The following is a 21,664-nucleotide window of genomic DNA, read 5'->3' as shown; positions in this document are numbered from 1 at the left end:
TTATAGAGCTTTGGGGTTGAAGGGTCTGCTTCCCAAATACTCATCTGCCCTATGTGTAAAGTAGATACTGGTTTTACTTTTAGCTTAGAATGAGAAACACCAGCCCCTTTGGAAAACCCATCCCAGCCTAAATTCTAAATATAGCCAATTTTGACGGAGACAGACATCCAGTCATGAACCTAAAAAGGAAAGCTCATTAGTAGATGCAATAGATAAATAAAGGCAAACACAGCCTGAAGTTTAGGGGGAAATGGTTAAGCTATTAAATGACACAATTATACCCAGCAGGAGATAAGATGATTTAAGAGCTTTCTCAGCAAAATACTAGCAGATACTTGTTGCCTCTGCTTGGCTGGCTGATTCTGAAGATAAAACAGATCATCAGGGCTGATGGATGGCCTTGTGTCCTTAACACACAAGAAGTTCACAAACAGATGGGTCTAGAAATACTAGAAAGTAAACTGAATAACCTAAAGAATTTGGGCCATAAAGGGCAATTTTTTTAGGCTAGGTTCTTTGGATTTTAAGTAATCAAAACTTACTTCGCACTAACTTGGGCCACAAAAATAATAATAATAATAATAATGTTTGTTTCAAAGATACCGCGTATCTTGCAAGAAGCTAGGGGAAACAGTTTCTTGAGGGCCTGGAGCCCAAAATAGAAAAGCCACCAAGAGATCAGAAAGTTTCTACCCTAAGTTTTAAAGCTCAGCTTCTCTTCCATAGTCTGCTTAATCTTTTCCCTTTATTACTTTGCTTTTTCAGCTTTGGGGAACTCATGGACATATGTGGTTCTCTGCAGCTCCCAAGTTGCCATCTTCTTCATTTAATATCTTATTCTCAAAAAATACTCTGATTGGCCCAGTTGGGGTCAGGTACTCATTCCTGGTCTGATCGACCAATGTTGGAACAGGGGTGAAGTGCTAGGTGCTAGCATGCTGGCAGAGTGCTAGTTCTATTTTTTTTTGTTGTTTGTTTTTGTTTGTTTTTTGAGACAGAGTTTTGCTCTTGTTGCCCAGGCTGGAGTGCAATGGCGCGATCTCAGCTCACTGCAATCTCTGCCTCCCGGGTTCAAGTGATTCTCCTGCCTCAGCCTCCCCAGTAGCTGGGATTACAGGCATGCGCCACCACGCCCAGCTAATTTTGTATTTTTAGTAGAGATGGGGTTTCTCTATGTTGGTCAGGCTGGTCTCGAACTCCCGACCTCAGGTGATCCGCCCGCCTCGGCCTCCCAAAGTGCTAGGATTACAGGCGTGAGCCACCATGCCTGGCCAGAGTGCTAGCTCTTATGGGTGAGGGAACAGTTTTTTGGATGCAGAAATTCATGGGCTGGGCAGACATCCCCAAATGTATCTCTTTAGGAACTATCCTAGTAATAACCCAAGAGTAAGAACTGAGATTATCTATTGGCTATATTTCTAAACAGTCATCTGCACTCTGCTTAGCAAGTTGAAGCTACAGTCTCATGAGAAAATTTCTACAACCCTGTGAGCCCTAGGGTTCCAACTGGTCCATTCTCAGCCAAGTACTGCATTCAAAGAAATACAAACACAACCAGAAAGTATTATAAGTCTATATTCAGCATTTCAAATCTGTCCTGTCTATCAAGGAAACACCGAAGGAGGAGGTAAATTCTTAATGCATAGCAGACATTTAAAAATTCTCTCTCACCATTGCTGCCCAGTCACTACCCTGCATGTGAATGCCAGCTTGTCTCTTGAGTTGTCTCTTTCCTATTCTCAACTTCCACCCCCAAACACATTTAGAGCACAGGTCTTTTCTGTCACACTTGCCAGTCTTCCTTGCCTGCTCTTATTATGTAAATCAAATTCACCACTCTGTCCTGTTTTGTTTTCATCTCTGCTTCACTCAATACCCCGACTCCCTCAGGACCGTGTTGCTTCTGCCCTGAATGAGTTCTTTTCTCCCGGGCTGCAGGGACCACAGAGGTCTTCTTCCTATTACTTCATGGACTGTATGAATTCCACCCAGCTGGTGACATCATGGCAGGTAAGAGGATATCTGTGGGAAGGTTGTGTCTGTTGTTCAGAGTCAAGACCCAAAACCCTCTAGGATCCTTTATGGTAGACAAGGTCACAGGTCTGGCACCTTCTCTCTGTCTTGTCACCCCCTCACACAAACCACAATTGCTGGAAAGCATTGCATAATGTGCATACAATGAACAAATGCCATGAATGTCTGGCCAAATTGATCTTTCAGTTTCTCATCATGGTCTCTCCCTTGCACCCAGACCTTTGGACTTGCTGTTCCATCTGCTTAAAGTACTCATATTTCTACTTTCCCTTTTCCACCTATTGATCACCTGGTTAACTACTTCTCATTCTTCAGGTCTCAACGTAGATACGCTTCTTCTAGGATGAAAAGTCTGGTCTCAGCAAGTTAGAAATAGGATCTCTGCCTTGGGCTCCCCTGGGATTCTGCATATCTGCTGGCAACATCTTGTAATTCCGAGTTTCCTTTTCCCCCTCATTAGAACCAGTACTCCATGGGGGTAGAGAGCCCAGCTGTCTTTTCTTCTGGGACCTAACACATAGTAGATGCTCAAAAAATTTTAAAAGAGTGTGAAAAGAAAAATTCCTAACAATTCTGGTTCAGTAAATTAAAAGGAAGAAGAGGGAGTATGGCTTTAACCTTACAAACCTTTGAGTATGAAACACTAAAAAACAAAACAAACAAACAAAAAAGTTTCAGCCTTCCTTCCAAGGAGAAGTCTTTTTCTCTCTGGATAAGTCGCTGCAAGGCAAAATTTCACTCAAAGTTCCTATTAGTGGTTACGTCTGAGATCAAGTTTGCATTACTGAATTTCCCCCAAATTGGTTTCTTTTCTAATAAACTCCAGTTAGGCAATAGCGTTTTCCAATTTCAAAGAGTAATAGTGTCTTTGGATTCCATAATGAAGCTACCAACATTTCAAGTACTATCAACTGCAAGTTAAAAAAAAGAAAAAACACGAAGTCAAGAGTTTATGCCACTGAATTATAATCAGATAATTTATAATATAATGAAAGAACCATCACTAGGAAGTGAAGATTTAAGAATAATCAAATCCATGTGGCTTTGGAAAATACTACCAAGGAATAAACTTATATTAGCAAATGGAATAAATTATCATATTTCAACATATTTCTTTCATGGGTCTAGTGCTAATTGCAAGACTATAGTTTATTGGAGAAGGTGCCTGAGCAAGCAAGGACACAATCAGGGCACACTTAGGCAAAAATCTGCCGCTGAATTAGAAATAAATGACATGCTACAACATTTAATTTAATAAAAGCCCCAATGGCAGAAGAAACACAAAGAAACAAGTTGATGCTTTCTATCCAGTAACAAAAAGTGACTCTAGAAAAAGCAAATGTTATTCTAACATTTCAGACACAATCCGCTAAATATTTATTATAAATAGGAGTCCAGTAGACAAAGGGTTGCAAAGGAAACACTCGGAAGGCAGGTAATGCTACTACCATAGAGTTTTAAGAGAAAATAAAACAAATTTACAATCTAGAGTGTTATCTCTTTTTACCAGGATGAAAAAATAAACCTTACCACCTGAAAATATGCAGCATAAGATGAAGTTTTCCTGACCTAAGAAAGAAATCAAAGAATGATGGATGTACAAGAAAGTCAATAGTGAATTCCTCTGACCTAGAAAGAGGAATAACTAACTATATTCCTTTAATTTCCAAATTAGTCTCAGATAAATAGCCTAGAAAGGAAATTGACTCATTTATTTGAAAAATCTATTCTCTACATCTCATCTATCAATTGTTTCAATGTTGTTTCTCAGTTCTTCAGAATGATAATTCAGGGGGAGTTTTGTGTAAAGAATGAGTGTGGCTGAGATATTTACTGCTCATCAAATATCCATGTGTTCCCACCCACCTCCCAGCCCCCTCCCAGTTGCATGTGGTCATGTGACTAGTCCTAGCCAAAGAACTGTGAGGGGAAGTGGATGTGTCACTTCCAGACTAAGACAGTGGACAGTCTCTAGGCATTTGCCTACAGTCTTTGATCTCAAGTCATGGTAACATGGATGCCACATAGTTAGATGCTGAATCATTAGATAGAAGCAGACTAGATCTCTGAGTCACTGTGTGGAAGCAGCCATCCATAAGGAGCTTTGCTTAAACAAGGAATATACCTTTGTTGTCTTAAATTGAAGAGATTTCAGCGTTAATTTTTTACTGCAGCATAACCCAGCCTATTGTGACTAATACATAAGGGCCAGTCTAAAATGTCCTCTCAAGCTTCTTTCTAACCTAGAGGACTGAGTCATGTGTATCGTCTGATGTTCATGAGAAGTTCTGAAGTTCAAAGGGGCCAGTGCTTTGGATGTAGTTTTTTTGTTTGTTGGTTTGGTAGGTTGCTTTGGCTTGGTTAAACTGATCAGTTAATTAAAACCTGGAATTCTAATAATGGTCTCAGAGAACTACAGCCTATGAGACTGCACGGTGCACACAGTCTATTTTGCTTACCATTGTATTCACATATACTAAGCTTATTACCTATACAGTACTAACTGCACAATAAATATTTGCTGAACGAAAGGAATAAAATAACTAAACAATTAAAATGACCCATACAAAAAGTATGTATTGCATAGAGCCCTTAGTAACCCCAAGTGTTCCCTTTGAAAGATGGAGGACACTTTCCCCTTTCATAGAAAAACAGAGGCTGTAGAAGAAAATCGCTGCACTGAATTCACTGGGCAGCCTGCTCATTCCTCAGATATTTATGGAGCACCCACTGCGTGCATTATTCTAAATCTGAGGATAAGACAATAAGTCAGTCAAATCTCCTATCTTCACGGAACCTTGCTTTGCTTTTCTTACATATCTTTTTTAAAAGCCAGAGTTTGGCCTGCAAAAGGAAATGTCCCAGATATCTAGTTACCTGGTATAAAAGTTAAAGCATGGCAGAAGGTCCATAGTGCAGCAATGCTTCACCTCAACAAATCCCACTTCCCCAGAGCCCTTGATGACTCACCTGCCTGCCTTGCTTTACCCTTCTACTGCCTCCCCTTGGACATTCCCATCTCCCTAGTTCTTGTTTGACTGAGCAGAGGGTTCCTACCCTCCTGACTTGCCCAACCTCATTCTTAAGAAATGCGCATTTGTGCTGCTTCCTTGTGAGAGCGTGTCTTGATCTCTTCCTAGGTTCACTCCCTGCTGTTTTCTGCCATAGGTGGTTTGGAGATGAACTGGTATCCTGCCCTGTGTTAAATGTCCTCAGACTGGAGCTCAGAACTTTTGAGTATTTTCAAAAGGGTCACCGTGTCTCCAGAGAAATGCTCCCAACAGTCCTAACTGAAGTCAGCACTGAACTGGGCAAAGGACTCAAGAAAAAAAGTTTCCTTCCTCCTCGATGTGTTGCTCAAAGCACTGCGTGAGACCACACGGAGCAGTATCTAAGCATTGAGCAACACTCAGAAGGGCAGCAGGACAAATGCGTAGCTGCTAATGACCCCTCTCCTGCCAATGCTTTCCTCCCTCAGCCCCCTCTAGGGTCACCGAACAGCTGTAAATACAAGCTGACCACCCTCAAGGAGCTGGGATGGAGGGAGGTTTTCTCCAGTCTCCAGTTCTGCCTTTGCACCTCTGTGGCCTCTCAAATGCTCAGCCAGTATTTTGAGTACACCCAACCTCACCCAGGAGATATATGTCACCCAGAAACATGTGCTCTCCAGAAAGTCTTCCTGACATCATCGGGGCAGTCCTCCTCCACCTCCTCCTCTTCCCAGCAATTCGTTCTGCAAATTAATGCCATCCAAACAATCCTGTAAGTGAATTGTTTTTTAAAAGGCTAAGGCTGACAGCTGAGCATAATAACCCAGGGCACACCAACCCAGGGCACAAACAAGATTTCAGCCTTGCATGCTGACAGCTGCAAATAAAATCCTTAGTTAGAGTGGGGAGTAAAGTTCCCTGCAAAGAACAAGCTGTAGAAGCCTGGAAAGAAATAGGATCCCAAGGAGCAGGGATGTGGGGGATCTCCAGGTCTTCTTTTGCTCTGTTCCTGGGGCCTCTTCCTCTTCTTGCTGCCTCCTCCCCTGCCTTGAACATGTGCCTGTGACCCACGAGGGACAGCAAGGCTTCTTCTTTCTATCTGCTAGGCCATCCAGGTAAATAACAGGTATAAAAATGAGTGAAAACACTTCCAAAATGTTGATAGTGCTTGGGAAAAGGAGGCTCTGTGTTACCTTCAGCAAGGCAAGCATGCAGAACTTTCTGAACTCAGATTTCAGCTGAGAGTGTGAGTCAGCTACAGGGAAAAGGGAAAAGAAGGAAGAGGGAGGTCACAGGCTCCTCCAGTTTCCAAAACTGATAGGTCTACAAGTTTGAAATCTGGATAGGACATATCTCCCTGCCTTCTGCAGATGGGTCTTTGTCAACGATTATGACCGCAGCAGGGGAAAAGCCCATTTCTAGTTTGGGCCTAGAATACTCTATAACCTTCTCAAATGATTGCCCTAAGGAGCAGACTTCTAAGCAGTAGGTGTTTGTTAATTTTTGTATATATCATGTTCAATGGAGTGAAATTAAGGGAATCATCTATATTTTGTGTAGGCAGATCAATTCCATTTTACTATTTCTATTGAATATTTGATTTTGCTCCTCTTACTCTCTTCTCTGAGGCAGTATCATGAGAAAGAAAAGTTGGTTGTAAATAGACCTTCTCTCTCTTGCATCCATCATCTGCCGTCACAAAGGAAAGTAGTTTAACAATTAAGTAGCCAAGGATGACACCTGTGTAGTAGAGGTTCTGCATTCAGCTGCACCCTGGATCCTGGGAACATAATTGGACCCAAGGCCTGCCCCATTGTACACCAAAGAATGTTAATAACATGGCTGCATGCATGCATGTGTGCACACACATGATACACTGGCTACACATTTGTAAGGATCTGTTTTTTTCAGGAATTATATGTATCTACCAAAGCAGATAGATTTAATGTATTGTAATAAGTCCACCAACAATATTTTCGGTTTAAGGGCTTGTTAGTGAAAGTTTTATAAAAATTTCACTTATTTACTGTTTCTGGTTTTTGTGTTTTGTTTTGTTTTGTTTTCTTTTTGGTTTATTGTTGTTGTTGTTTGTTTGCTTTTTGAGACAGGGTCTTGCTCTGTCACCCTAGCTGGAGTGCAGTGGTGCTATCTGCTACTGGCCCACTGCCACTTCTGCCTCCTGGCTTAAGTGATTCTCCCACCTCAGCCTCCAGAGTAGATGGGACTATAGATGTGTGCCACCACACCTGGCTTTTTTGTACTTTTTGTAGAGATGGGGTTTTGCCATTATTGTCTAGTCTGGTCTCACACTCCTGGGCTTAAGCAATCCGCCCAACTCAGCCTCCCAAAGTGCTGGGATTACAGGCTTGAACCACTGAACCCAGCCTCACTTACCTATTTCTTAGAAACAAGCTTGTGGCTAGAATGAGGCATATGTGACTGGAAAAACATGCATGTAACAGCCACCACTAATACATATCTTAGGTGCTGTGAGTCAATTATAAAGAAGTGAGGATTCTGTGATATAAGAGAGGACATTCCTCATTTTGCCCCAAGGAGCATCCTAAGAGTGTTGGTTATTATATTTCTATACCTTTGGGGCCTAGGAGGGAGCCTGACCCATAGTAGGTGCTCAATAAAACATTCTTAATAAAATCTCATGAAGAGCCTACTGTGTGCCAGCGACTGCATTGGGCAGCAGACATATTTAAAAGGATATAGCTCTAGTCTTGATGAGTCAATCTAAGAAGAGAAATAGTCATAATGATTTTTTGAAGGAACTATTTGAGTTTCTTTTGAAGGATGTGTAAGAGTTCAGCAGGGGGAGATGGAGTGAAAAGGCAGCTCATAGGCATAAAATGCTGTGATGTGTTCAGGAAAGACTGTGACTTGAGTGTGGCTTGGATCCCAGGTTCTAGGAGACAAGGTTGAGGAAATAGATGAATAGATAGCAAAAGGTCTTGGGTGTCATACAAAGGAGCTCCAGCTTTATTTTCTGGGCAGTGAGGAGCCTCAAAGCTTCTCATGCAGGAGCACAGATGGAGTCAATGTGTTTTGCAGAAAGCTTACCCTGGCAGGAATATGCAGTATAATTTTGGGGTAGAAAAAAATAAAAAACTGAATCCTGAGGTCAGAGAAACTGTGGCTTCAATCTGAGCAAGGGAAGTTGAGATCCTGAAGTGTTCCATGTTCCATTTGCCCAGGACATTTGGCATCAGATGGGAAGATGTGGGAAAAAAAGCTGGAAAGAGTGGTGAAAAGAGGCAGGGTGGTGAAACTATTGAAGATGGGCAATGGGAAGAACAACCTGGAACCAACCAGGAGGGAGAGTATTTTGCTGGTATTCAATGGGATGCCTCTTTCAGGAGCTGTGGTCTTCTGGGAGCCCGGGATCACTTTCAAGGGAACCATGCCACAGATTCTGACTGTTCACATTGTAGATCTTAGCTCCGCCCCTTGACAATTGTGTGCATGTGAACAGTTTGTTGCTCTCTTTAGGCCCCAGATAGGAAAAGGTATGACACCTGAGAGGCAAAGAGAAGTGCTCCTTTACTAAGAGGTGAGTGGGTACAAATGAAGCCCTAGTAGGCCGAACAAAGGAAAGAAAGAAAATGGGCCGGTGTGGTTGACTCTGGTTGCTACTCCTTCCTGCCCTTGCTCCTATTCAGCTTCTTAATTTTCAGGTGACATTCATCACCCACTTCTACACCTGGGAGCCAGCTCTGCTGGGGCTAGTTTAGAAGTGTGGAGGGAGAAGGGGAGGTCTTTTTTGAAACACTGGTTGCACTGCAGACAGACAGGCCTCCATTTATTTTCCAGTGGAACACCATATTGTTTCCTCTCACTCTCTTCCAGCGAGAACTATCTAGGAAAGGACGAGGACCAAATTACCAAGCCTTTGGATCTAATCCATGTGGCATCCCATCTGTGAGCTCCAGGGAGATTCAAAGTTGGCCAGTGCTGGAGGCCAATCATATTTATACCATTTCCATATGGCACCTTTTGATTGAGACTTGGCAAGCACATGAGTAAGTTTACTTTCCTTTTTTAAAAAGCTATATTTGTTCCCAACACTGTAATGTCTACAAATGTCTTTTAATTGTTATACTTGTAACCAGGATAATAAGATTGGGCAAGCTTGAATAGCATTTAGTTTGGGACCTCTTAGAATGTCAGAGCTTTTGGGAATTGTCTTCCTGGGGTGGAGCTTTCCCTGAAGGGAATGGATGGCCCCATTACCAGCGAACTTGGACTATAAGTCACTCTTGGGGGATGACAGAACTTTCCTCACAGTCAGGCTGGAGGTGAGTCAAGCCAAGAGGCATTAGGAGGTTCCACGGGAGGAATCAGTTTCCTGGCTGTGTCAGGGCTGTTGTTGTGTATGGTGTGTGAGGGCACCATTCTCAGAGAATATGATGTGAATGGTGCCCCTTGGAATTGTACAGCCGGGTGGACCTGTGCCACACAGAAATAAGGAAGTGGCTCAGTGGGAGGACCTGGAGTATGTCTGGGCTTATGCATAAGTTGAGAGAGCCTGTAGCCATGCTTCGGTAATGTGGTAGAGAAAAGACCCCCACCCACATCTCCACTCCCACCCCCACACCTACACTTGCCAACCCCACTGCAGTCGGATTGGAGGAAGACAGAGAGCAAGACGTTGGAACAAGCAGCAGGGGTGGAGCCTGGGACACAAGGTCAGCACATAGCAAGCCCTTGCTTTGGAGCAGAGGTGGCCGGTTTCCAGGGCAGTGAGTATTTGAGGCAGTAATTGTGATCTTCAGCTTCACTGGTGCAAGTATCACCTGTGAGAAAGCAGGCATTGGGTGTGATTAATTAGTATGCTTCTTTAGCATATGGGGTGAGGGAGGGACAGGGGCTAATTTGAGCAGTCAGGGACAAGGAGTCAACATCAGTGTGGAGTGATAACGTTTGTACACCAAGCTGGTAAATAGACATCCTAGTTACATATGATTCTATTGGCATTGCCTACAGAGGAGAAAAAAGTGATCAAGTGGTTGTGGATTTTATGTTTGCTTACCTGTTTTTTAAAAAAAAGGTGAATAAGGAACTTTATAAAGATGTTGGATTCCAGCATGTTAGACATTGTAGTGGATTGAATTTTGATCCCCAAAAAGATATGTCCCAAGTCTTAACCTCACAGTAGCTGTCAATGTGAGCTTATATAGAGCCTTTGCAAATGTATTAAGTTAAGCATCTCCAGACGAGATCATCCTGGATTCAGTGTGGGCTCTAAATTCAATGACTGGTGGTGGTATAAGAGAAAGGAGAGAGAGACAAACAGACCCAGAGACACACAGAGGGGAAGGCCATCAGAAGACGAGGCAGCTATTGGAGTTACGCAGCCAGAGCCAAGGGATGCCAGAAGCCAACAGAAGCTGGAGGAGTCAAGGAAGGATTCTCCCCTAGAACCCTGGAAGGGACTGTGGCCCTGCTGACGCTTTCTGGGCTCCAAAACTGAGTGAGAATAAATTTCTGTTGTTTTAAGCCACCGGTTTATGATCATCTGTTCTGGCAGTCCTAGGAATGTAATACAAGCATATTTAGTATTTGCTGATAGAAAAGTGAAGATTGATTTATTACTTCATGCCCATATTTCTAATTCAAAGTCCTAAAAACCTGGCTGAGAGCACATGATGGATTTATTTAGTGCTCTAGGCAGCAATTCTCAAACTTGAGTATGCATCAGAATCACCTGGGGGGCTCACTGAACTAGATTACTGGCCCCCCGCCCCCCGCATTTCTGATTCAAAGAGTCTAGAGTAGGGTCTGATAATGTCAGATTCTTAGAAGTTCCCAGGTGATGATGCTGTTAGTTTGGGACCACACTTTGAGAACCATTGAGCTAAATTTGCAACCACCTCAAGCAAATGAGTGCTTCTAATTTTAGAAACTAAGCAGAAATTCTGGGAAAGGAATCCCTTCTGGGATAAGTGGATAATGAAAAGAATAAAATTTATTTTTGTTTAATTTGCTGTGGTTTGCAGGAGTTGAAGTTATAAATGAAACAAGTAAAAACTACCCTTTTATGAGCAGTATTGCCTCTTCTCCCCATCAAACCCCTGTTTTTTCCCCTGAGTGTAGACATGTCTATACACTGGTCTGGAGCTTCATGGGCAGCCCTTTGGATGTCCCTGGGAAGATGCTGGATCCATGCAGTAGTCTCACACTTGCTTAGAATTGCAGGATTATTTCTTGCTACACTGCACCCCTCTTGTATACCACTTCACATCATCTTGGCCCTACCTCTTACTGCACCTGCTGCTATGCCCCTGAGGTCAACCCAGCCTTCTGTTTCACGTAGGTGCAGACTGACAATGCATTCTCTTGGGTCTTGGCCCTGGGCTACTTGCCTCTTGCCTCCTGTCCTGGGTCAGCTCTGACTCCTTGCACACTCAAGCCAAAGCATGGAATGCCCACGAGGCCATTCTTACCAGCAGGGAACTGAGCTGATGTACAAATATTTCCCCTATTCAATTCCTAGATGAATTGTTCTGGATTCTCAGCTATATGCTTCTCAAAATGTTCTATGGGGTTATTTATTGCCCATCGAGGTGTCCAACTAAGTAACGACTCTTAGTATACCTAGGCTTTTCTCCTTCCCTGTTAAGCTCGTCTCCATCCCCATCCCCATCCCCATTCCCATCCCCATCCCCATCCCCATCCCCATCCCCATCCCCATCCCCGACTCCTCCTCCCCGGAATCACTTCCCAAATAAACCTACTGGCACTCAAGCCTTTGTCTCATGCTCTGCTTCTTAGAGAACTCAGGGTAGGACACTGAATACACCGAACTGCACCCACCTTCCTCCTTTCCCACTTTTGGGAGATTGGTGCAAATCTGAAGATTCAAGGTGCATATGTGCATATGAAATTTGGAGTATCTGCTGAAGGGAATGCTGGCATGTGTTGGCTTCTATCTGACCCTAAGAAATGAAATTACCCATAAGTGATCCATGGAAGTGGGCAACAGGAACTGAAATATACCATCATCTGCCACCTGTCCTGGAGAAAGACCTTGGATTTCACTAACTGTTTTTATCAGAGGGAAGCCCCTTACTGACTCAGGCAGATATCAGAAATGTTTGGAGCTTATCTGTCCTCACAAGTAGCTATATCCCAAAAGTACATCCTACAGTGTCTTTTTGTTTAAGAGGCAGATATTTACACAACACAGCTCAGGGTCTTCCTGGTTGACAGTGATGGCGACATCATCTGCACCTGGCTTTGCCCTATACAGGAGAAAGCATGCAACCACTTTGGCTTTTTTAGCCTGTGAAACATCTAGAGCTGTAAGCTCTATAAGCTATAAGCTAGTCCAGAGGTTCCCCAAAACTGCCTATGGGAATAGATATTTCTCAAAACAAGACACACAAATGGCAAACAGGTATACGACAAGGTGCTCAACATCATTGATCAGAGAAATGCAAATCAAAACTACAGTGAGATATCATCTCACCCCAGTTAAAAAGGCTTTTATTCAAACATCAGGTAATAAGAAATGCTGATGAAAATGTGAAGAAACATGAACCCTTGTACACTGCTGGTGGGAATGCAAGTTAATACAACCACCATGGAGGACAGTTTGGAGGTTCCTCAAAATCAAAAACAGAGCTGCCATGTGATTCAGCATTCCTGCTGCTGGGTATATACCCAAAAGAAAGAAAATCAGCATATCAAGGAGCTATATGCACTCCCATGTTTATTGCAGCACTGTTCACAATAGCCAAGAATTGAAAGCAACTGAAGTGTCCAACAGATAAATGGATAAAGAAAATGTGGTACATATATACAATAGAGTACTATTCCACCATAAAAAATGAGATTCTGTGATTTGTAACAACATGGATGGAACTGGAGGTCATTACATTATGTGAAGTAATCCAGGTACAGAAAGACAAACATCACATGTTCTCACTTATTTGTGGGATCTAAAAATCGAAACAATTAAATTCATGGAGATAGAGAATAGAAAGTTCCCAGAGGCTGGGAAGGGTAGGGGGAGGGAGGTGGGGATGGTTAATGGGTGCAAAAAAAAAAAAATTAGACTGAATAAGACCTAGTATTTGATAGCACAACAGGGGGACTATAGTCAATAATTTAACTGTACATTTTAAAATAAAAGTATAATTGGATTGTTTGTTACACAAAGGATAAATGCTTGGGGATGGGTACCCCATTCTCTGTGATGTAATTATTTCACATTGCATGCCTGTACCAAAATGTCTTCTGTACCCCATAATTATATATACCTACTATGTAGCCACAAAAATCAAAAACTAAAAAAAATTATTTAACTGCTCTGTGGACTGACTGCTTTAAAATCAGTGAGAGAGCTTTTTGTCTTTCTTAAAAAAATTGTGGTCAGATATACATAACAGAATTTACCATTTTAACCATTATTAAGTGTGCCTGCCATTTAGTGGCATTAAGTACATTCGCATTGTTGTATCACCACTGTCTATTTCCAAATCTATTTCTTACCCCAACAGAAGCTCTATAACCATTAAGCAATGACTTCCTATTCCCCACCCCCAGCCCCTGGTGACCTCTAATCCATTTTCTGTTGCCTTTTCTAGATACTGTATATAAGTGGAATAATATAGTAGTTGTCCTTTTGTGTCTTTATGTTTCATTTAGCAGAATGTCTGCAAGGTTCATCTACGTCGTAGCATATATCAGAACTTCATTCCTTTTTATGTCTGAATCATACTCCATTGTATGGACATACCACCAGATTGGTTATCTATTCATCTATTGATGGAATTGTGGCGTTTTTCCCTTTTTGGGTTTGTGAATAATGCTGCTACGAATAAGGATGTGCAAATATGTTTGAATCCTCGCTTTCAATACCTTTGGGTATATACCTAGAAATGGAATGGCTGAATCATTTGGTAATTCTGTGTTTCACTTTTGTGGAACTACTACACAATTTCCACAGCAGCAATACCATTTTGCATTTCTATCAGCAATGCATAAAGGTTCCAATTTTTCCATATCCTCACCAATATTTGTTGTTTTCCCTTTTTTCTAAAAAAAAAATAACCATCTTAATGGCTTCTCCCACCTAGTGGTAGTGGACTGGTATCTTATTGTGGTTTTGATTTGCCTGATGACTACCTTGGAAGCTTTTAAACAAATGCACATTTCTGAACTCTACCTCTGGAAATTTGGCTTGGCTCTGAGGTTGGCACTATGGAGCTGGCTGGTATGGCCTCCCACCCAGGTCAAAAATGTATTTTTGTAATTTCCCAAACTGCTAATCTGGTCTCTGCATACCTCTAATAATATGGAACTTTGGGGTTTTCTGAGGAAGCCCATTCCATTTTTACAGTTTTAGTTATTTATCTTCTAATCAGAACTTGTGTAATTTATAGCCACTGATATAGTCTCGTGTGGCATGTTTCATGTCTTAAGAGTTCCCTTCCCTCACCTCTACTCCATCCAGCCCCTTCAGCCTGTATCTGTTCCTCCTCAAGCTTTCTCAGCCATCCCCATAGCAAGGCTGCATCTGGCAAGCTTCCTCTATACTTCCATAGCATCTTAAGCTTTCTCCATCATGGTGTTTCCACGTGTGTCGTAATTTCCTGTTTACTTGTCTGCCTCCCTTATGACACTATGAGCTCCTTGAAAGCTCACAGCTGTCTACAACACTCTTCACTGATGTCTCCTCACTGGCCAGTGCATAAGGTGGGCCCTCAACAAATGGTGGTTGATGCATTTGTTGAAAAACACAAGTTCTGCACTAAATACATAAGAAAACACTTTGGATATTCTTCAGTATGTAATAAATTAAACTTGTTAACATTAGGAGCTCCTCAATCAGCAAGCAAGAAAGAGAATTTACAAAAGCATGGTTTTCAAATTGGATGATAGAATCCTAAACCATTAAGAAATTGCATCTTGTAAGCACAGGGAGCTGAAGAGGCTGCCTACTTCCTTTCTCTCTCCACTTTTGTCTCTTCAACAGACTTCTTGGCAAGCACATACAATATTTGTTCACCCTGGGCTTTCTGTGTGCTAAAGAAAAAGTACCTTAGGGTGTATTTAAACAACCACAGAGTTATATTTTTACTTGTGCATTTTACCTACAGCATTGGAAAAAGTAATTTTGCCTCAATTAGAGTAGGTCTTTTCAACTGCTGACATATGTTCATAGAGCATCTGGATATAATCTGATTAGCATCTGTTGTAAGCCTGTGAGATACTATCTATCTCCTGAGGTCTCCCTTGGAGAAGGAAAGGCATAAACGTGCACTCAGCTGGACCATCCCAGTGCTGACATCTGCTGTTGGGTCACACATCTGGGCCTCCCATCCTCCATCACTTTGCCAAAGTTCATCTGGACAAAGAGTATCACCCCCACACTCTCAAGGTCCCACTTTAATTGGAGCAGAAAACCAGTGTCAGCACTCTGGCCAGTGAGAAAATCTTAACATTCTTCTCTCTCCTTTTCCCCTGCATATGTTAGAGCCAGCATGGAATGAATCACACACATCTAGAGAAGGAAAAGTATCAATAATTGATATGCCTCTCCCTGCTCAAGCTGCAAACATTGCCAGCTCTTTGGTTTATGTATTCCCCATTCACCTTCAGTTTGCATCCTCAGATAAAGTTACATGATACCTCTCTTGAGAATTCCCTTCCTAGTTTTTTTTTTCTTTTTTCTCCTGCATTTTGGATGCAAAGATTTAAAGGAAAATAATTTCATAAGGTTGTATTTGTTTATGCTTGTTTTTTAGAGCAATAGAGCTACATCCCAAGATGTAAATACATGGGCACCCTCTCCCCCACCCACTGCTCAATTATTTATGCTTAATTAATGCACATAACTGAATTGAGGATAAAGGAGCAGACACCTCACATTCATCACCCAGCATAGAACAGCTGAACTAGGAAGGCCTAGAAAGTTCATTCTGTATAAGAATAAAGGAGGAAAAAAAGGGAGGGGTGATTTTAGGTATTGATAAGTGGTTAGTTGTGCAGGATCTGATATAATCCTACATTCATAAGTTTTTGTGCTGGGTTTGGGGAGAGAGGGTGTCTCCCCAGACCCAGCACAAAAACTTATGAATCTAGGATTATATCAGATCCTGCACAACCGGGGATTTACATCCTCAGTTTAACTGAGTCTCATATACCCTTCACCTGTTTAAGTACCATAGCACCAAACAAACATACTAACTTATTTTAGAGATTCAGGCAATAGATATTCATTGAGCACCTCTAATTTGTCAGGTACTAGATTGCATGCCAAGCATACCAAACGGTGCATCTGTCTTTACCCTAGATGGAGTCTAGTGAGGAAGACTGGCCATCAGAAGTGATCACACACATCAATACAGTGTCCTGAACTGTGGGGAGGTTGTGAGTGAGAATGTAGAGCCCAAGAAGAATGGGTGGAGGAGGTGCTCTGAATGAAATGGTGAGGAAGGGCCTCTCTGAGGATATGACATTTCAGTTGACACCTGGCAGCATTTCAGCTAACACTTGGCAGTGTCATTCAGCTGGGGGCAGAGAGTTCAAGACAGAGGGAACAGCCTGTGCGAAGGACAAAAAGAACTTGACACATTCAAAGAATTGAAGTAATGCCAGTGTAGGCGAAGCCAAGAATGAGAGCAAGAGAGATGGGACTTGGAGGAAGAAGGAGGTTGACAGCACTGCTAAGTTGCACAGGCATTCTAGTTCTTACTAAAATTTGTAGCCTTGTCCTAAGGACAATAAGAGCCATTAAAGATGTTTAAATTGGGAAACACAGCATAATGTATTTAGAAACAATGGTTGTTTGGAGAATGAATTGTAGGGGACAACAGTAAAAGCAGGGAAAGATTATACTTTCAGGAATCATTTCTATAGTTTGTTACTAGAGAAAGTTCTCTGAATGTGTAAAGCATGAAAAACCACAAGGAGACACAGTGTCTGCTCCTGACTGAAAAGCCAGCTCTTGGTGTTGCTCTGCTGCAACTGCTATTTGCCATTGATAACCATTCTTCTCTTCCTCTGGGATAGTAAGAGGGAGAGACTGCAGTCTGAGTGGTTCCCATATTTGTAAAAAAACAAAAACAGGAAAACAAGTCATGGAAGAGAATGCTAATTGCCCACCTAATAATCTTTTTCCCCTTTACACAGATGTCTGATTTTACTTCAGTTAATGATGTGATTATATATCCCAAACTCCCTTGCAGCAATTACTGAACAATGACATATAAATAAGTGAAGTTCTTGGGTACAGCTTCTGAAAGCCATCTGAGAGGGACTGCCTCATCTGGAAGGAGGCCCTTTTGCACTTCACCTCCTTCCCCTAACCTGCTCCTTGGAGTGCAGATGTGATGGCTGGAGCTCTAGCAGCTGTCTTGTCTCATGCCACAATCAGAAGGTATTATGATGGCTTGGACCACAGAGGTGGCAGATGGGATGGAATGATGGAGTAGGAAGTGGAGGGCATGTTTAGAAAGGGTTTTAGTAAGAGGTTGTGCTTATATTGCATTTTGAAGGACCGGAATGATTTGATCAAGTAAATAAACATTGGGGTCCAGTGTGGTAGCTCACGCCTGTAATCCCAGCCCTTCGGGAAGCTGAGGCGGGTGGATGATGAGGTCAGGAGTTCAAGACCAGCCTGGCCAAGATAATGAAACCCCCATCTCTACTAAAAATTCAAAAATTAGCCAGGCATGACAGTGGACGCCTGTAATCCCAGCTACTCAGGAGGCTGAGGCAGAGAATTTCTTGAACCCAGGAGGTAGAGTTTGCAGTGAGCTGAGATCACACCACTGCACTCCAGCCTGGTCAACAGAGCAAGACTCTGTCTCAAAAAAAACAAAAACAAAAAAAAACAGAAAAAAAACCCACACATTGGAACAACTATTAATAGTTCTTGCTGTTTTTATATATTTCTCTAGTTTTGTTTTTATTTCAACATATATGATAAATAAAACCAGATGTTGAAAACTGTAGCTCACAGTCATATCCAGCCCTGTCACATACTTCATTTGGACACAGGGGTTGGTTCTAAATTTTTTGAAATCCTTAAAATTTAAAATCAGGAAAGTTTACAAAAGTCTAGGACAGAGAAAATTCTGAAAACAGCAAGAGAAAAACATCAAGTTGCACATAAGGGAACTTCCATCAGAATAACAGTGGATTTCTCAGCAGAAACCTACAGATCAGGAGAGAATGTGATGAAAGAAAGAATGTGAGAAACTGCTAAAAGAAAAAAAACTGTCAGCCAAAAACACTATCTGCAGCCAATCTATCCTTCAAAAATACAGGAGAAATAAAATCTTTCCTAGACAAGCTAAACCTGAGGGGATTCATTACTAGGCTGGCCTTAAAAAAATGCTTAAGGAAGTCCTATATCTGGAAGTAAAAGAGCAATATCCACTATCATGAAGATACACAAAAATATAAACTCACTGGTAGAGCAGACATAGAAAGAGAAAGGACCCAAATGTTACCACTACAAAAACAAAACAAAACAAAACAAAAAACCCACCATAAGCAATGGCAGACAAGAAAAAAAGAAAGGAACAAAGGTTATACAAAACAACCAAAAAACAGTTTTTAAAATGACAGGAATGAGTCCTCACCTATCATAAATAACCTTGAATGTAAACAGATTAAATTCTCCACTAAAATAATACAGACTGGTTTAGTGGATTTTTTTAAATGCCCCAACTATATTCTGCTTACAAGAAACTCACTTCACCTATAAATAAATGGGATGAAAAAAGATATTCCATGCAAATGAAAATCAAAAGTGAACAGATACTAGATAAAACAGACTTTAAGTCAAAAACGGTAAAAAGAGACAAAGAAAGTCATTATATAATGATAAAGGGATAAATTCAACAAGAAGATATACCAATTCTAAATATACACATGCACCCAACACTAGGGTCCCCACATATATAGAGCAAATATTATTTCATCTAAACGGGGAGATAGACTGCAACACAATAGTTGGGAACTTTGATACCCCCTTCTCAGCACTGGACAGATCAGACAGAATATCAACAACAAAAAAAAATGAATTTAAATTGTACTTTAGACCAAATGGACCTAACAGATAATTACAGGACATTTTACCCAACAGCTACAGATTACACATTCTTCTCATCAGCATATGGAACATTCTCCAGGATAGATCATACATTAGGCCACAAAACAAGTCTCAACAAATTTTAAAAACTCAAAATCATATCAAGTATCTTCCCAGACCACAATGGAATAAAACTAGAAATCAATACCAAAAGGAATTGTGAAAACTGCACACATACATGGAAATTAAACAACATGCTCCTAAGTAACAATTGGGTCAATGAATAAATTAAGAAAGAAAAAATATGTAAAAACAAATAAAAATGGAAACACAACATACCAAAACCTATGGGAGACAGCCAAAGCAGTGCTAAGGGGGAGGTTTATAGCAATAAATGCCTCTGTCAAGAAGGTAGAAAGATTTCAAATAAACAACCTAATAATGCACCTCATGGAACTACAAAAGGAAGAATAAACAAAAACCAAAATTAGTAGAAAGAAATAATAAAGATCAGGGCAGAACTAAATGAAATAGAGACTAAAAATAAAATATGAAGGATCAACACAATGAAAAGTTGGCTTTTTGAAAAGATAAACAAAATCATAAACCACTAGCTAGACTAACCGAGAAAAAAGAGAGAAGACCCAGATGAACAAAATCGGAAATGGAAAAGGAGACATTACAACTGATACCACAGAAATACAAAAGATCATAAGAAACTACTATGAACAACTATGTACTAACAAACTGGAAAACCTAGCAGAAACAGATAAATTCTTGGACACATACAACCTATGAAGAATGAACCAGAAAGAAATATAAAAACCTGAACAGACCCATAATGAGTACAGAGATTGAATCAGTAATAAAAAGTCTCCTAACAAAGAAAAGCCCGGGACTGGATGGCTTCACTGCCAACTTCTACCAAACTTTCAAAGAGGGACTAACACCAATTCTCCTCAAACTATTCGGAAAAATAGACAGAAACATGTTCCTAAGACCAAAGCCCAAGTGAGTTTTCCCCAAGACCCAAGATGCAAGACAAGATGAAAATCTGATATATTTCAGTAATAAATTAGCAATAAAAAAGAAATACATATTTTAAAAATTGATATGATGAAACAGTCCCATTCCATCATCCTGAAATCTACTTTTCTTCCTTTCTACTCTATTAAATCAAATGTCACTGCAATCATCTTGATGGCTTTCATTTATCTTTTGCTTGATTGTCTATGTGTAATTCTTTGTAAAAATCCTCCCTTTGGTTTTCTCTTCTTCCCTCTCCCCTCTCTCTTTGCTTCTCTTTTTTTCTCTTTTATTCCAGTGAGCAGTGATGTACACCCAAATATCTAAGTTTCTCTGGAATTCCTTTTGTACTCATTGAAGCTACCAATCCACCATAGTTCTATGTTACTGGCCCCATGTCTTCCCCACCCCTCAGAAGCCCACACAGATCTAGGGCTTAGTGAGTTGGGGCACACCTTCAGAGGTCACTCAGGAGGCCTGGGCTAGCTGAGTCAGGCAAGAGCATTGGAACCACCCAGGCAGCTCTGAACTCCAGAAAAAGTCATCCTGCAGCTGCCCTCAGCAGTCTGTTCCAAGATCTGTCCACAACGGCAGTCAGGAAGTTTTCTTAACAACTCACCTAAGACATACCATCCAGATTTGGCGAGGACAGTGGCCATTCATGCTGGCCTCTCCCAGTCTTCTTTTCCAGATATGAAATCTTGGACTTCTCCATGCACACACACCCTCCACTCTGCTCCTCCAGGGAGTGAGAAATTTGGCTTGAAATTAACTCAGGACTCCCAGCTTCAGCGGGCCATCTGGAGTGACTGCTGCCTCCAAATTATGTTCACATCCACGGATAACCAAGTGGATTATCTCCAGGAATCATCTTCTCAGTCAGAAGAGAGGAGGCGGAGAAAATATCACGTTCATTTCTTGCCTAGAAAAGACCGCTGACATCAGCTATTTGCCCTTTCTGGCAATAATATTTGGTTGCTGCTCCATAATACAAAGCCTAAATCAGGCTTATTAGTGTCAAATTAAAAGGCCCTGAAGGGCAGCCAGATTTTCCAGAACTGGCACTCGTTGCAGCCTGGCACAGTGATAGAGCTGACAGGCCCCAGCTTGGGAGAAGTCAGCAAGGGTTTAGAGTACCCGGAATGCCTCACTGGCCCATTAACCACTGCAGGTATAATTAAGACGCATGTCCCTCCATTTCTGGATGCCATCCCTTTGTTGACAAGTTGCTCAGAGAATGAAAGCTAATATTTACCAATTAGCCCAAGCAAAACATTGTCAGGGAGGCAAATCTGGCACAAACACAATGTCTTGGTGGTCTCCCTTAGCACATAATAAAATCGATATCAGTACATACAGCTGGTAAGAATCTGTGTCCATAAACTCAAGACACACAACCTTTCTTTATGTTCCCTTTAATCAGTGGTTCTCAGTCAAGTGCAATTTTACCCTCCACGGGACATCTGTCAACGTCTGGAGACATTTTTGGTTGTCACGCTGGGAAGGGGATGCTACTAGCATCTAGTGAGCAGAGGCCAGGGATGCCGCTAAACATCCT

The 21,664-nt window shown here is 41.5% G+C and overlaps 2 long non-coding RNA genes and 1 other non-coding gene across 3 annotated transcripts in view; 2 read left to right on the top strand and 1 right to left on the bottom strand.

The window, feature by feature from the left end:
• Positions 1-20,923, bottom strand: part of PRICKLE2-AS1 (PRICKLE2 antisense RNA 1) — a 35,168-nt gene extending 14,245 nt beyond the window's left edge. The window contains exon 1 of the long non-coding RNA NR_045697.1: positions 20,726-20,923. This is a non-coding gene — a long non-coding RNA (PRICKLE2 antisense RNA 1). The remainder of the gene's footprint in view (positions 1-20,725) is intronic.
• LINC00994 (long intergenic non-protein coding RNA 994) lies at positions 1,524-10,526 on the top strand. Its single transcript, NR_033978.1, has 4 exons — positions 1,524-2,010; positions 5,203-5,796; positions 8,880-9,052; positions 9,652-10,526. It is a non-coding gene; the product is annotated as a long intergenic non-protein coding RNA 994 (long non-coding RNA).
• LOC124906380 (small nucleolar RNA U3) lies at positions 16,868-17,080 on the top strand. The gene has a single exon (XR_007096344.1). It is a non-coding gene; the product is annotated as a small nucleolar RNA U3 (small nucleolar RNA).
• Positions 20,924-21,664: the final 741 nt, after the last annotated feature.

This window comes from Homo sapiens, chromosome 3 (genome assembly GCF_000001405.40).
Source record: "Homo sapiens chromosome 3, GRCh38.p14 Primary Assembly".
Classification (NCBI taxonomy): domain Eukaryota; kingdom Metazoa; phylum Chordata; class Mammalia; order Primates; family Hominidae; genus Homo; species Homo sapiens.
Note: the sequence above shows the minus strand (reverse complement) of the source record. Positions and strands in the feature narration are given on the sequence as shown.